We start from the raw sequence: 16454 nt of genomic DNA, 5'->3' as shown, positions 1-16454 counted from the left end.
GGAGTGCAGTGGCACAATCGCAGCTCGCTGCAGCCTCAACCTCCTGGGACTCAAGCAATCCCTCCCACCTCAGTCTCCTGAGTAGCTGGAACCACAGGTGCGTGCCACCATTCCTGGCTAATTTTTTGGATTTTTTTGTAGAGAGGGGTCTTGCCATGTTTCCCAGGCTGTTCTCAACTCTTGGGGTCAAGCAGTCCACTTGCCTCGACCTCCCAAAGTGCTGGGATTACAGGCATGAGCCACTGCATCTGGCCATTTATTTTTATTTGAAAAAATATAGTTTTTTTGAGACAGGGTCTTGCTCTGTCACCCAGGCTGGAGTGTAGTGGTACAATCATGGCTCACTGTAGCCTGAACCTCCTGGGTTCAAGTGATCCTCCCACCTCAGCCTCTCAAGTAGCTGAGACTACAGGTGTGAGCCACCATGCCCTGCTAATTTTTGTATATATTTATATATTTTTTGGTAGAGATTGGTTTTCGTCATGTTGCCTAGGCTGGACCCGAACTCCTAACCTCAAACAGTTCTCCCACCTTGGCCTCCCAAGGTGCTAGGATTACAGGCATGAGCCACCATGTCTGGCCTGTGTGTGTATTTAAAAGCTTTCTTTGAAAAATGGGAAATTTGGGCTGGGCGTGGTGGCTCACACCTGTAATCCCAGCTCTTTGGGAGGCCGAGGCGGGCGGATCATGAGGTCAGGAGTTCGAGACCAGCCTGGCCAACATGGTGAAACCCCGTCTCTATTAAAAATACAAAGATTAGCTGGGCATGGTGGCTGGCGTAATCCCAGCTACTCAGGAGGCTGAAGCAGGAGAATCATTTGAACCCGGGAGGTGGAGGTTGCAGTGAGCTGAGATCACGCCATTGTACTCCAGCCTGGGCAACAAGAGCGAAATTCCATCCCCGCTCCCCAAAAAAAGAAATATGGGAAATTTGAATACAAAGGACTGCATTCTAGATGATATTTGTCAATTTTCTTAGGTATGATAATGTCATATTATGGCTCTATAATAGAATTTATTTTTAGAAGATACATACTACAGAATTCAGGATTGAAATATCATAATGTCTGCAACTTATTTTCAAGTCATTTATCAAAAATATTGGTAGATAGATAATGCAAATATGGCAAAATGTTAACAATTGTTGAATTCAGGAAGTGAATTCAATATGAGTGATCATTTACTATTCTGTCAACTTTTCTATATGTTTGAGAATTTTCGTAATGGTTTATTTAAAAAAACAAGTTATCATGAAAAAAACATCAGAAGCAGAAACATCAATATTCAGGCCAATTAAAAGAACCAGTGTTCTGTGTGTGTGTGTGTGTGATGGCATATCTGCCTGTAAGGTTTAAAGTGCTGTCACTTCAAAGCCATATTTGATGCACTCAAATAAACGTTACTATTTTCTTGACTCATCTGGAGGATGAGGGAAAAGAGCTTTAATTCTACAGCCAAAATAATGGCCTAAAGGTATTCATAGTCATATGACATTTGAAGCAATAGAAATTTAAAACTTATAATCAGACTTCAACCAGAAAAATAAATGGGTAATTTTATTTTTAATCTAAAGACATTTTTTTAATGTCTTCAGAACCGTTTGAATGTTATTTCCTGTTCTTAAGGTAAAATAAACAAAATTGTTTATATCTGATTGTGTATGCCTGACCAGATTTTCTTGATGATAAAAACCATTCCCAGCTTTTGAAGACTGATGTCTGATTAACTCTTTCAAACATAAATGCCACAAAATTAATCAAAGCTGTGGTTTTTTCCCAGGATGATACTCAGCTGTGGACATTAGTATCAACAAAGAAGGGATATTTTGATGAATACAAACTTAAAGAAAATTTAGCATATACAAAATTTTAGTTTTTAGTATATTTTCATTTGCAGTTTTTAAACTTTAGTAAACATATGTTAACATATACATGCTAAACATTTCATCTTCTTGTGCATATTTTAGAATGTCAATTTTAAATTTAAAGTTCCCCAAAATATTTGGGAGAAGAGGGTGAGGCACAGGAACTGGGGAATGGTAAAAATGTTAATATATACATAAGGAAAGAAAATCCAAACAAAAGCAAAAGCAACAATCCAAAGGGAGTAATGATGTAGGTTCAGAGCTAAGTTGATCTCAGCCTACACTGTATGACCCTTATTTCTCATTGTTACAACATTCAGAATAGTAAGTGGACTTGTCAGAGCATGTTTTTTAAAACCAAGCACATCTTAACAAAGCCTGTTTTCGTCTTTATTCTCAGTTCCTGGGTTCTAAGTCTAAAGAAGAAACACAATTAGGGTTTGGCTGCTGTTTAAAATAAAGATATAATTACATAAACAATTTGTTCCATTTACTGTGCCATACAACGTGCAAGGCCTCTCTTTCCTAAGCCTAAGGACCCAAAGAACAAAGATAATCCAGCCAGCCCGTTACACGGGCAGAACCCAAACCTAGCTCCATGCCGCCATCATCTGGTCAATATGTATATTCCACTTGCACTCCAGCAGTGCCCAGAAGACGGTGGATATCCGGAATCCTGAACCACCCAGAGTGGAATTCAAACTCACGGGACTCATTTTTCATGCAAAGAAATTATATTTTATGAAGGCACAATATAAAATTATATATTCTGTCTTACTGAGGCCCTTTGTTCTTCAAACCAGTAACTGAAACCAGAAAAATATTGCAGAAATGGATAAAAAAATTTCAGTTTCTTAGCTTCAAGTTCAGGGAGACTTTCCTTAAAGATCTTTACTTCAGGCCAGGTTCAGTGGCTCATGCCTGTAATCCCAGTGCTTTGGGTGGCTGAGGCGGGAGCATCGCTTGAGGCCAGGAGTTTAAAGTTACACTGAGCTATGATCTTATCACTACACTCCAGTCTGGATGACAGAATGAGACCCTGTCTCTAAAAAAAAAAAAAAAAAACTTTACTGCAAATGCATCTGCAAATAGTTCAATAGCACCTTCTGCCAATTGAGCAGAATGCGTTTTAGTAGATATGAAAGGCCCACACTCCTTAGAAGACCTGGGAGTTAGATCCACTTGGTCAGTCACCTAAATGTAAGGCCTAAGGCAAGTCACCTAATATTTAGGGGCCTCTTCTGGAAAGTAATGGGGCTCAACTGAGACCTTTTTATGGAGAGGATATCCAGCTTAAAAAATCCTATTATTATTTAACTTCAGTTTGTACCACAAAATTTAGTACTTAATTTTACTGTCTTGCTGGATTTTCTAATTGTTTCATGAGCACTAATTTTGTTTTTCCAACTAAAATTTAGGTTACTTAATGGCAAGGATGATATCAGACTCCCCAGTCTGTGTACTTTTTACTGTATTACATTACCTGAAAGATCAGTATCAGCATTTAACAAGTTATTGTTGATTAATTTTTAGAAAGTCAAAATATGAAAATTTAAAAATATATTTACTAATAAATACACACTGAACACATTTAATATAATAGCTACTGCATTTACAACAACAAAAATGTTGCAAATGTGGGCAGAAGTCAGCTAGCCACTATGCCCTTAATTGAGTCCACCAATTTTGCCTTCCTCAGTGGTTCCATACTTATCAAGCACAATGAAATCTCTTCAGGACTGGTGTCTAAGAGAATGCTAGGCTTTTATAATCTAATCCTATTTTGCTTTGTGGCATTTGATTTACCCCTATATTTGTATCATGTAATGATAAATAACATCTCTAAAGTCAGTTTGTAAACCCACAAACACATTTCCCAGAAGTCTTTCTTATTCATGCTGGGTTAAGTTGTCCATCATCATCAAACAGCCTCTGCCGAGGGGGTTTCAAAGTTAATGACATTTCCATTTCCCCCTCCTCCTCCCCTCCTCCTCCTCGTCCCCCCCTCCTCCTCCTCTTCCTCCCCCCCTCCTCCTCCTCTTCTTCCTCCTTCTCTCTGAAACCTGTCACCCAGGCTGGAGTGCAGTGGCATTATCACAGCTCACCGCAGCCTCCACCTCCTGGGCTCAAGAGATCTTCCCACCTCAGCCTCCAGAGTAGCTGGGACCACGGGTGCATCCCACCACGCCCAGCTAATTTTTGTATTTTTTGTAGAGACAGGGTAGCGATATGTTTCTCAGGCTGGTCTTGAACTCCTGGACTCAAGCGATCCACCCATCTTGGCCTCCCACAGTGCCAGGATTACAGGCATGAGCCACCATGCCTGGCCCATTTCTTCTTAATTTTTAGTAGGAAATACCTATTTTTGAGAACTTGAAGATGTGATGTTTTTCATTAAATTTTGCTCATTATACAGATTTCACAAAGACTCCAAGGTCAAGACTCTGGTTTTCTTGTTGTGATTCCTTTTTTTGCATTTAATAAAATTCTGTAATTATTTTATTTGAAGGTTGTCAAATGAACTTCCAGATTATGCAAATTAGATAATGCTGTCTAATATCTCTACCTGCTTATCTGCCTATATGCTAGAGTCCTCCTAATGGGCTTAAAGAGTTGGATTAGAGGTCATGGATTTCCTAGGAGATTATGTTTTAGGTAAATACTGCCAATTTGACTTAGTGCAGTAAAAATATGAGACTTTATTTCAGTGAACAGTTTGCAAATCAGGAATATACAGCTTCCAGCGTGAAACCAAGGTGCCTTTCAGAGAATAAAGTGAGGGTTTGGCTTTTATAAAGTTCCTGCCCTGGTTCCCAATCAGATCAGTTTACGCAAATGAATGATTCAAATTTGCTTAGTTCCGATTGATTGACAGCTGAGCCCTGATTGGCAGAGGTAGTGAGACCTAATTTGTCTGTTTGGGTGAGCTCTGATTGGTTGGTTCAGTTGAGCTCTGAAACTGCCAGAGTTGAACAGAGGTGTGGACTTCTGGGGAACTCAAGGTACATGTATGACTTACGGTCAGCAAATGACTGCTTGGCTCGATTTTAAATTTAGACCCAGTTAGCTGCTCCGGATTTATCTTGAAGGATTGGGTCTTTCAGGTTCACATTTGTTTACATAACACACATCCCAATTATAAATGTATACTAGATAAGAGAGGAAAACAGCTAACTGCTTTTCTGCTGTTTGCTTATTGAATCTTACTTATTTTCAAGTGAAAACAAGCAACACTGGTTGCTGTTTTTGCACTACTACTATGCTTTTGCCCATGCAACTCCTGCCTGACATGCCCTTTTCTGCATCACTTGCAGTATTTTACCGACCTTATTAATTTACTATCTATAAACCCTTAAAGAATGATGACTGCAGCTGGTCACGGTGGCTCACGCCTGTAATCCCAGCACTTTGGAAGGCCGAGGCGGGCGGATCACAAGGTCAGGAGATCGAGACCATCCTGGCTAACACGGTGAAACCCCGTCTCTACTGAAAATACAAAAAAAAATTAGCTGGGCATTGTGGCGGGTGCCTGTAGTCCCAGCTACTCGGGAGGCTGAGGCAGGAGAATGGCATGAACCGGGAGGTGGAGCAGCCTGGGCGACAGAGCGAGACTCCATCTCAAAAAAAAAAAAAAAGGCCAACGACTGTGTCTTTTACACATTCACTCATTTATTTATTCAATAAAGATTTAGCTGGCTGGGCGAAGTGGGTCACACCTGTAATTCCAGCACTTTGGGAGGCCAAGGCAGGCAGATCACTTGAGGTCAGGAGTTGGAGACCAGCCTGGGCAACATGGCGAAACCCCATCTCTACCAAAATTCAAAAGTTACACAGGCGTGGTGGTGGTGCACGCGTGTAGTCCCAGCTACACAGGAGGCTGAGGTGGGAGGATTGCTTGAGTCCAGGAGGGGGAGATTGCAGTGTTACAAGAGTTATTAAGAAATTATGTTAGGCAGATAGAGAGGAAAAGGGGTTGTTGTAAAGTTATTTCTTTTAAAGCAGCTCCAGAAACATTTCTTGTCTAGCAGGAAAGCCCTGGCTCTTAGAGCTAGGCCAGCAACCTTTGATACGCAAATACAGGCCATTAGAAACCGGGTCCACCCAAACATGGCAATTCCTGCCCCCTTCTTCTTGCCCTTGCCCAAACATGTGCCTGGTAACATGGCTGCCCCCATATATCCCTACCTGTGTGGAACATCATGGCACCCTGAATTTGCATCTTAAAAGGCTAGGGTGGGATGGCCAGTTTTTTCCTCAGGCTACCATGAAAGACGTGGCTGATCAAACCAATCCCCTGAGCCCTACGCAAATCAGACACCACTTCCTCCAGTCTACTCGTGTAAGCAGCCACTTTTCCATGGCTTGTGGGGTTTCATCTCTCCACTTTGGAGCCCCTCTGCCCCCTCCCCCTCGTCTGTGCATGGGGGAGCTTCTTCCTCCTTACTTGCCTATTAAACTCTCTGCTCCTGAAAACCACTACGTGTGTCCATGCCGTTTTATCTAATTTGACTCGAGACGAAGAACCCTGGTGTTCCTCCACTCATTGGAACCGTATCAGCAGCAAGACAAGATCGTGTCACTGCATTCCAGCCTGGGTGACACACTGAGACCCCATCTCAAAAAAAAAAAAGAAAATATTTAGCTATGTGTCAACTCTGGAGAGTATAGCAGCAATAAAAACTGACAAAAATCCCTTCCCTCATGAAACTTATATAGATTAGATGTAATAAATGAGTAAAAGATACCACGTATTAGATGCAACAAGTGCTAAAGAAGTAGAATAGAGAGTGTTGCTGGGAGTCGGGTCGCAAGTTTTTAATATGGTTGTCAAGGAAGCTTTTATTAATGTGACATTTGAGCAAAGACCTGAAAGAGATGAGGGCAAATTGTGGATATTTTGGGGCAAAGTGTTCCAGAACGAGGGAATAACAAGTCCAAGGATACTAAAATGGTAATATGTTGGATCATGCTTGACTTGTAGAAGAGCTACAGGGAGGTTCATGTGGCTGGAGTAGAGTGAGGGAAAGAAAATTTTGTTCATTGTAGTATTCTTAGGAGTTAGCACTGTGTCTGAATCATATCAGGAATTAATGTATTTTTAATGGATCAATCAGTATTTTGGTGCTAATGTAAAAAAAGTTGCCAAACATTAACATCATTTTTCACAGAATTAGAAAAAACAATTCTAAAATTCATATGGAACGAAAAAAAGAGCCCCAATAGCCAAAGCAATCCTAATCAAAAAAAACAAATCTGGAGGCATCACATTATCGAGCTTCAAATTATGCTATAAAACTGCAGTTACCAAAACAGCATGGTACTGGTATAAAAGTAGGCACACAGACCAATAAAACAGAACAGAGAACCCAGAAATAAACCCAAATACATGCAGCCAACTGATCTTTGACAAAGCATACAAAAACATCAATCGGGAAATGGACATCCTATTTAATAAACGATGCTGGGGAAACTGGCAAGCCACATGTAGAAGAATGAAATTGGATCCCTATCTCATCTTATACAAATATCAACTCAAGATGAATCAAATACTTAAATATAAGACCTGAAACCATAAAAATTCTAGAAGACAACATTGTAAAAACTCTTCTAGTCATCAGCCTTGGCAAAGTATTCATGACTAAGACCCCAAAAGCAAATGCAACAAAAACAAAAATAAATAAATGGGACCTAATTAAACTAAAAAGCTTCTTCATAGCAAAAGAAATAATAATCAGAGTAAACAGACAACCCAGAGTGGGAGAAAATATTTGTAAACTATGCATCCCACATAGGACTAGTGTCAAGAATCTACATGGAACCCAAACAAATCAGCAAGAAAAAAAAAAATCCCATCCAAAAGTGGGCAAAGGACATGCACGGACATTTCCAAAAGAAGATATACAAATGGCCAACAAACATATGAAAAATGCTCAACATTACTAATCATCAGGGAAATGCAAATTAAAACCACAATGAGTTACTGCCTTACTCCTGTAAGAACGGCCATTATTAAAAAGTCAAAACACAATAGATGCTGGCATGGATGTGGGGAAAAGGGAATGCTTATTCACTGCTGGTGGGAATGCAAATTAATACAACCTCTATAGAAAATGGTATGGAGATTCCTTAAAGAACTAAAAGTAGGTCGACCATTTGATCCAGCAAGCCCACTACTGACTGTATGTACCCAAAGGAAAAGAAGTCATTTATATAAAAAAAACACTTGCACACACATTTATAGTAGCACAAATGCAAAAGATGTGGAACCAACCTAAGTGCCCATCAACCAATGACTAAAGAAAATGTGGTATATAGACACCACGGAATACCACTCAGCCATGAAAAGGAATAAAACAATGTCTTTGGCAGCAACTTGTATGGAGCTGGAAGCCATTATTCTAAATGAAGTAACTCAGGAGTGGGAAACCAAAACCTGTATGTTCTCGCTTGTAAGCGGGAGCTAAGCTTTGAGTACATGAAGACATACAGAGTGGTATAATGGAGTTTAGAGACTCAGCAGGGGGAGGGTGGGAATGGGGTTAGAGATAAATAACCACATATTAAGTACAATGTACACTACTTGGGTGACAGGTGCACTAAAGTCTCAGAAGTCACCACTACATTATTCATCCATATAACAAAAAAAATTTATACCTCAAAAGGTATTGATACAAAAATTTTTTAAATGTCAATATTTCACAAAAACCTAAATTGTACTAAACCCAGTGCAGTTACTTTTGTAACGAGGAAAATATTTTGTCTGGTTGCCCTGACTTCAGTTATGCTACTGAAACAGTTATTGTGTCTGCAATTGGTGGGTTCTTGAACTCACTGACTTCAAGAATGAAAACGTGGACCCTCACGGTGAGTGTTACAGTTCTTAAAGATGGTGTGTCGGGAGTTTGTTCCTTCTGATGTTCGGACGTGTTTGGAGTTTCTTCCTTCTGGTGGGTTCGTGATCTCCCTGGCTTCAGGAGTGAAGCTGCAGACCTTGGCGGTGAGTGTTACAGCTCTCAAGGCGGTGCGTCTGGAGTTGTTCATTCCTCCCAGTGGGTTCGTGGTCTTGCTGGCCTCAAGAGTGAAGCTGCAGACCTTCGCCATGAGTGTCACAGCTCACAAAGACAGTGCGGACCCAAACAGTTAGCACCAGCAAGAGTTACTGCAGAGAGCAAAACAACTAAGCTGGAGACCTGAGCGACTTGCCGCAGCTGGCTCTTGGCAGCCTGCTTTTATTCTCTTATCTGGCCCCACCCACATCCTGCTGAGATTGGTCCATTTTACAGAGAGCTGATTGGTCCGTTTTGACAGGGTGCAGATTGGTGCATTTACAATCCCTGAGCTAGACACAAAAGTTCTCCAAGTCCCCCACTAGATTAGCCAGACACAGAGCACTGATTGATGCATTTACAAAGCCTGAGCTAGATACAGACTGCTGATTGGTGCATTCACAAACCTTGAGCTAGACACAGGGTGCTGATTGGTGCATTTACAATCCTCCAGCTAGACATAAAAGTTCTCCAAGTCCCACCTCCCCCCACCAACTCAGGAGGTCAGCCAGCTTCGCCTGGTGGATCCCGTGCCAGGGCAGCGGGCGGAGCTGTTCAACCAGTCCAGCGCTGCGTGCCTGCGGGCTCCTCAGCCCTTGGGCGGTAGATGGGACCGGGTGCTGCGGAGCAGGGGGCGGCACTCGTTGGGGAGGCTAGGGCTGCGCAGGAGCCCATGGCGGGGTGGGGGAAGGCTCGGGCATGGTGGGCTGCAGGTCCTGAGCCCTGTCCTGCAGGGAAGCAGCTGCGGCCCTGTGAGGATCCGAGTGCAGTGCCGGTGGGCCGGTACTGCTGGGGGACCCGGCCCACCCTCTGCAGCTGCTGGCCCAGGTGCTAAGCCGCTCACTGCCCGGGGCCAGTGTTTCCGGTCTGCCGCTCCAAGTGCAGGGCCCACAGATCCCATGCCCTCCTGGAACTCACGCTGGCCTGCGACCGCCACGCGCAGCCCCGGTTCCAGCCTGCTCCTCTCCCTCCACACCTCCCTGCAAGCAGAGGGAGCCGGCTCTAGCCTTGGCCAGCCCAGAGAGGGGCTCCCACAGTGCAGCGGCAGGCTGAAGGGCTCCTCAAGCACTGCCGAGGCCGAGGAGGTGCTGACAGCCAGCCCTCTGTGAGGGCTGCCAGTAGGTCGTCACCTCTCATTATGACTTTTGTTAATTCAGATGTTTAGATCAGTTCAGATGTTATGTTGGGAAGCATTTTACAACAATCACATATTTTTCTCTTTGCATTTCTTCTTGAAATACTTAGAACTGTAGTTTATAATGAATATAAACACTGGAAAATGCCACAACATTGTTGGGTAGTATTCTAATAACATAACATTCAGACCTTCTAGCAAGGTTAATAGAACTACTCAGCATCACTTAAACAAATTGCCAGTTTGAGGACTTATTTTGCTTCTAATTTCTTAGAACATGACTCATAGAATTTTATTTATTATGCATATCATGTCATCAATATTTATTTTACTTGCAAGAATGACTCATTGTTACCAGAAGATGGGGCTGTGAACACCATATGCAACATGGCCACCATCATGAGCCAGACTGATTAGATCTTCACTACTTCTTTCCTGCCTGCTCCTTTTTCTGCTCACTTTAGACTCCATTTGTCAGTGTTTCCTGCCATTGCTTTTCACTTGTTAGCGGGTTTGTTTGAATCAGTGTATGTTGACTGCTAAACTTCAATTCCTGCAGAACTGTAATACTTTCTTTTGACTTCCTGATTTCTTGGCTGATTTTTCTTGGGATTCAAAGAAACATAAACAGTTAAGCTTTGAACAACTCAGCAATAAGGGGATCGACCCCTAAGCAGTCAACTACTGTTGACTGCAAGCCATGCCAAGAACACAAACAGTTGAGTAACACATATTTTGTATATGTATTATGTACTGTCTTCTTGAAATAAAGTAAGCTAGAGAAAAGAAAATGTCATTAAGAAAACCATAAGGAAAATACATTTATAGTAATTATTATTATTGTACTTATTTACCAATACTGTAAGTTTATTTCTTTTGCTTACAAGATGAATCCCTGCCTGAAATGGCAGCAACCACAGCTGCAGACCTCAATCTACAGTACTTATTAAGCAATTAAACTTTTCCTTGTAATGACTATTCTCTGCTTCTTGGGAGCATTTACAGCATCGCTAGTGGCACTTTGTATAGGTACCACGGTGTTATTCAAGGTTGACGGCAGTGCACTAAACACGATGAAAAATACAGGAACCATGAGTGATCACTTTTTACTATGATACACAATTTACTGGAGAGACAACTGCTCTTGTGGAGATGATTAACATCACGAAGTGTTTTAAGTGGATACATTCAAAACACTTGGGCTCACTGCAATAGCAATGAGAGGTGCCATGAAATTAGTACAGCACTACAGTATGTATGAGTTATATGCAGTTATGATTTAATGCTGCATCGTTATGTTTGTTTCAATTTCTCTCAACTGTTAATGGTGCCACGGTCTGTGTTTATGTGTGTATGTTTTGATAAATTTTAACTTTTTATAATACATTTGTGGGCCGGGAGCAGTGGCTCACACCTATAATCCAGCACGAGGCAGGTGGATCACCTGAGGTCAGGAGTTCAAGACCAGCCTGACCAACATGGTGAAACCCCATCTCTACTAAAAATACAAAAATTAGCTGTGCATGGTGGCGGGCACCTGTAATCCCAGCTACTCGGGAGGCTGAGGCAGGAGAATCACTTGAACCTGGGAGGCAGAGGTTGCAGTGAGCCAAGATCGCTTCATTGCACTCCAGCCTGGGCAACAAGAGTGAGGCTCTGTCTCAAAAAAAAAGTTATATTTGTGTATATTTTAGGGTATTAAATGATAAAAGATGAGTATCTACATATTTTATGCATTATGACATACTTTTCTTAATTTTTCAATATTTCTAGGCTATACAGTTTATCTGTGTTTTTTAAATTGTTGCAAATATCCAAAACTTTTTCCAATATATGTAGAAAAAAACCCGTGTATAAATGTATGCACAGAGTTCAAACTTGTGTTGTTCCAGGGTCAACTGTACTATCTTTCCCAAAAAATGGGTGAAGGGAAACACTAATGGTAAAATATCTGTCTCCTCAGTGTCACCAGATCCTGAGAGTTTTGGGATTTCGATAGACTCTTCAAGAAATAAAAGCTTCTCAAGTGTCAATGTCCTTCAGGCAGAGACCTCCAGGAACACATCTGTAGTTAACCAAGTTGGAATTATTTCTGGTTGCAGTGAGGAAGAACACACACCTTGAGGAAGAATGGGCTGCCTCGGTAAAAGGGTGTTAAGAAAGAACCTATTATACGATTTGGGCTTTGTGGTGATTTGGGAGAGCATCTAAGGAAGCGGGAATATGCTCTCAATTGGATGCAGTCAGAAAGCTGGGGGAAGTCTATGATTGTGTCAGCAGGGAAACGTATCTGAGTCACACGACTTCAAAATAGTAATACCAGTGGTGAATCCCTTGGGGTCTGCAGCACCCTCAATTCTGGCCTCCTCCGAATAAAGTATTCAACTGATGGACATAGGCAGAAGGAGAGACCCAGGCAAGTTTTAGAGCAGCAGTAAAAGTTTATTAAAAAGCTTTAGAGCAGGAATAAAAAGAAGGAAAGTATGCTTGGAAGAAAGCCAAACAGGCAACTTGAAAGGCAAGTACACAGCTTGATATTTTGACTCAGGGTTTGTTTTTGTTTGTCTTGAGACAGATTCTTGCTCTGTTGCCTAGGCTGGAGTGTAGTAGCGCGATCTTGGCTTGCACCCTCCACCTCCCAGGTTCAAGCAATTCTTGTGCCTCAGCCTCCTGAGTAGTTAATTCTGTTTTTTTTGTTTTTTTTGTTTTGTTTTGTTTTGTTTTGTATTTTTAGTAGAGACAGGGTTTCACCATGTTGGCCAGGCTGGTCTCAAACTCCTGACCTCAGATGATCCGCCCGTCTTGGCCCTGCAAAGTGCTGGGATTACAGGCATGAGCCACTGTGTGCCTGGCCTTGGGGTTTTATATATTGGCTTACTTCTGCGGTCTTGCATTACTTCTCCCCGATTCTTCCCTTGGGGTGGGCTGTCCGCATGCACATGCTTGAGCCCACTCGCCCCACTCCTGAGATCTTATCGGGAAGCTGCTGATCACTAGTTTCAGGTGTTTTCTATCAGGAGCCTGCTGTTCCCTGGTGCCAGCTGTGATCAATTATTATTTTAGTGAGACAGTTAACAACCGCTTGACCATCACCTGATGGTTGCCCGACATTCCTGATATGTGCGTGTGGTGCGGAGCCCTCTCCTGCCCTGCTCATTCCTGACTAGCTACCTACTGTAACAAGATTGAGATCTTGGGCATCTCAGTCTTATCTATAGAGAAGTGGCTAGCATGAGAATAAAGCTGCAATTTTAAAGTAGTAGTAGTTATTTGTTTGGGCCAAGAAAAAGGTGTTGTATTTTGTAGTCAGTAAAGTGAGCTTTTTGTCTGTGCTTAGAAAAGCTTAATGAAGTGGTTTGCTTTGTATCATTGTATCATGATTTCAGAGTGACCTTGTCTGCAGTTGCTATTTTGTGAGATTATTTCTCTTCAATAGGAGAATAACAAGGCCTAGCTGTGAGTGTCAGGCCAGCTTCTCAATGTTAAGGACTCTTTCCTTTTTCTTTCTTACATTTTAGTTTTATAATACATTTTTCATTCAAATATACATACAGAAAAGTACATAAATTATAAATGAATTTTCATAAAGTGAACACATCAGTGTACTAATGTTCGGCTTAAGAAACAACATATCCAACTTCCAGAAGTCCCCTTCATGCACCCTTCAGATCACTAACCCTGAGGTTACCCACTATCCTGAGTCTAACACCACAGATTAGTTTTGCCTGATTTTGAATTTTTTATGACTAGAAACATGTAATATGCACTTTTTTGAGTATAGGCTTATACTCAACATTATGTTTGAGATTCATTCATGTTATTCTGTGTCATTGTAATTAGTTCATTCTCACTGATGAATAGTATTCCATCATGTAAGCACACCAGTTTATCTCCATTCTAGTGTTGATGGACATTCAGGAGCTTCCAGTTTGGAGCAATTAGGAATTAGTTCATAGTGCTGCTATGAATGTTCTCGTACATGTTTTTGGTGAATGCCATGTATATATTCCCGCTGGGGAGGAGTCGAATTGTTGTATATTTATGTTCAGCTTTAGTAGATAGTGCCAAACATTTTTCCACAGTGATTGTACCAATTTATGCTCACACCAGCAGTGTAAAAGAATTCTGGTTGCTCTCTTTCCCATGTTATGTAAACTCTTCCAGAATACAGAAAAAGATGAAAACTTCTAAATGCATTCTACAAGGATTCTATTACCTTGATACAAAATTGAGAAAGTATAGAAAAGGAAAACTATAGGTTAATGACATCTTTAAATGGAACTGTAAAGATAATGAAAATATTAGCAAACTGAACCTACAAATTTTTTAAAAAAACCAAACCAGGACCAGAATGGGTTTATTCCAAGAACAGAAGTAATGCTCAAAACTAGGAGGTTTTGAAATAATGCATACTAATTTATCAATGTTAGCTATTATATAATTCATTAAATCCCAAATTTATTTTTGTTAATATAATTCATTAAAATAGAAACTGTTAATATAATTCCTTTCGAAGACTAGAGGAGAAAAGCAGATAATCTCCAAAGATGCCAAAAAAGCCGTTGATAATATTCAATTCTCACTTTAATAAAAATTCTAGAAACAAAGATATAAAAGTCCATGTTATATCTCCTTCAGTCTACTTGTCGGGTTCATCATCCATTATTACCCCACATGAAAGCTAACTTCTTTTTCCTTGCTCCTCCATTTGCTAGCTGTGTAGCCTTTGACAAGTTACTTAACCACTCTGTGCTGATTTCCTATGTGTAGTAAAATAAGAGTACCTACCTTATGTTGTAATGATCAAGTCCTCAATACATTATTCTTAATCACTTTTTAATTGCAAGAATTTGGTCATTAAACATCCCTTTGACTGGATTGCGAGCACCTTGACAGCAGGGACTAACAGTGGAACTTTCTGGAGACTTAAGGAATGTCTGTTGAATCCTGATGCAAGCTTTCTCACCTTCCTGTGTTCTCTCATTGCTTCCTCATCCTGTCCAGCCGTCCGTCCACCCGTCGCAAGCCTAACCCCAGTCAATAACCACTGTTTACAACACTTTCTTTGTACCCTTCTTATAGTGCTTATTACATTGTTTTGAATACTAAATGAATATATAGTGCGTCGTTGTGTTTAACATTTAGGACATAACCACTCATAATGTTACAGTTAAAAAAATAGTTTTGTGCATTCCTCTAGGGCCGAACTGTGCCGTACTTCTGGTTTCACTGTACAGTGTCTACAAAGCACAGTGTCAAAGACAGAGCTCGGGATGAGAACTGGGCTAAGGCGCGCCCCGAACTCCCCAAACCCTATTATTCAGGGCCCGGAGAGGTGCGGGCTCCGAAGGTGTGGAGAGCGAAACACGCAGAGCAGTGATTCCACTCATCAGTCACACAGTAAGACGGGACAGCCCCATCTCGCAGTTTTTCATTATTCAACACAGAGCCCAACGCGCACGCAACAGATCCGCGCGCAGGGCTGTTTGGAGGCGCTTGGGGCGCACAATCTGGGGCAGGCGGAACCTTAGTCCTCAGCCTCGCGTTTCCCGCGACTCCGCTCTCACCGCTACACTACCACACAAACGGCCTCCTTCCCCCACCCCCGGGGGCCCATCCCGGTGGCGGGCTCCGGAGCTCGGGACTGCTAATTTCAGCGAAACGATTAAAAGACGCCCCTACAGCTGACGGCACTTTCTCTCCTCCGGCAGGGAAGGACGTCCAGCGTAGCGTCGCCCGCGCTTCCCCGCCGGCGCAGAGCAGGCCTCACAGAATCGCACGCCGCTGGCACGCACGCCGCCCCGCCCCCACGGCCCAGCGCCAGCCGCGCCCCGCGCTCGCACGCATCCCGGCCTCACTGCCCCTCGACTCCTGTTCCGTTGGAGGGGCCTGAGGCGAGCCTGAGCGCGCTGTTGGCCGGAGGGAAGCCGGAGGAGACCGGGTCGACTGGGCAGAGCGGCAGAGGGTCGAGGAGCCTGCTCTGCACGCCCAGGGAGTAGAAGTGGGCAGGGAGCAGGGTCACGTGAGGGAGCGCGCCGCGACTGAGCTTGGGTCCGACTGGAGCTCAGGCTCGCGACCCAGACTGGTGGGCCAGGCCTCCAAGCCGGCCTTACACCCAATCCAAGGAGGACAGACCGGACACAGAGGGACGGAGCGAGCAAGGAGACATGGCTTCATCATTCCTGCCCGCGGGGGCCATCACCGGCGACAGCGGTGGAGAGCTGAGCTCAGGGGACGACTCCGGGGAGGTGGAGTTCCCCCATAGCCCTGAGATCGAGGAGACCAGTTGCCTGGCCGAGCTGTTTGAGAAGGCTGCCGCGCACCTGCAAGGCCTGATTCAGGTGGCCAGCAGGGAGCAGCTCTTGTACCTGTATGCCAGGTACAAACAGGTAAAGTAGCAGGGAGAGGG

At 42.8% G+C, this 16454-nt stretch overlaps 1 protein-coding gene across 7 annotated transcripts in view, besides 5 other annotated features; it reads left to right on the top strand.

Annotated features, from left to right (window-relative positions):
* Positions 2149-2358: an enhancer, noted in NCBI's record as "active region_2164". NCBI's record gives its function as "activates an Ori minimal core promoter by ATAC-STARR-seq in GM12878 lymphoblastoid cells {active_cell/tissue: GM12878}" and the evidence as "EXISTENCE:reporter gene assay evidence [ECO:0000049][PMID:35858748]".
* Positions 15835-15934: a silencer, noted in NCBI's record as "silent region_1594". NCBI's record gives its function as "represses an Ori minimal core promoter by ATAC-STARR-seq in GM12878 lymphoblastoid cells {active_cell/tissue: GM12878}" and the evidence as "EXISTENCE:reporter gene assay evidence [ECO:0000049][PMID:35858748]".
* Positions 15835-16356: a biological region, named in NCBI's record as "H3K27ac hESC enhancer GRCh37_chr1:180471258-180471758".
* Positions 15856-16356: an enhancer, noted in NCBI's record as "H3K27ac hESC enhancer chr1:180471258-180471758 (GRCh37/hg19 assembly coordinates)". NCBI's record gives its function as "activates a minimal SCP1, AML or CMV promoter by ChIP-STARR-seq in primed H9 embryonic stem cells {active_cell/tissue: H9 hESC(primed)}" and the evidence as "EXISTENCE:reporter gene assay evidence [ECO:0000049][PMID:30033119]".
* Positions 15902-16454, top strand: part of ACBD6 (acyl-CoA binding domain containing 6) — a 232925-nt gene continuing 232372 nt past the window's right edge. For all 7 annotated transcript variants that reach the window (XM_047432083.1, XM_047432080.1, XM_047432082.1 and 4 more), the window contains exon 1: positions 15902-16434. In XM_047432083.1, the coding sequence (XP_047288039.1) occupies positions 16213-16434 (222 nt within the window). In that variant the 5' untranslated portion in view covers positions 15902-16212. The remainder of the gene's footprint in view (positions 16435-16454) is intronic.
* Positions 16145-16334: an enhancer, noted in NCBI's record as "active region_2163". NCBI's record gives its function as "activates an Ori minimal core promoter by ATAC-STARR-seq in GM12878 lymphoblastoid cells {active_cell/tissue: GM12878}" and the evidence as "EXISTENCE:reporter gene assay evidence [ECO:0000049][PMID:35858748]".

Source organism: Homo sapiens, chromosome 1, assembly GCF_000001405.40.
Source record: "Homo sapiens chromosome 1, GRCh38.p14 Primary Assembly".
NCBI lineage: Eukaryota > Metazoa > Chordata > Mammalia > Primates > Hominidae > Homo > Homo sapiens.
Note: the sequence above shows the minus strand (reverse complement) of the source record. Positions and strands in the feature narration are given on the sequence as shown.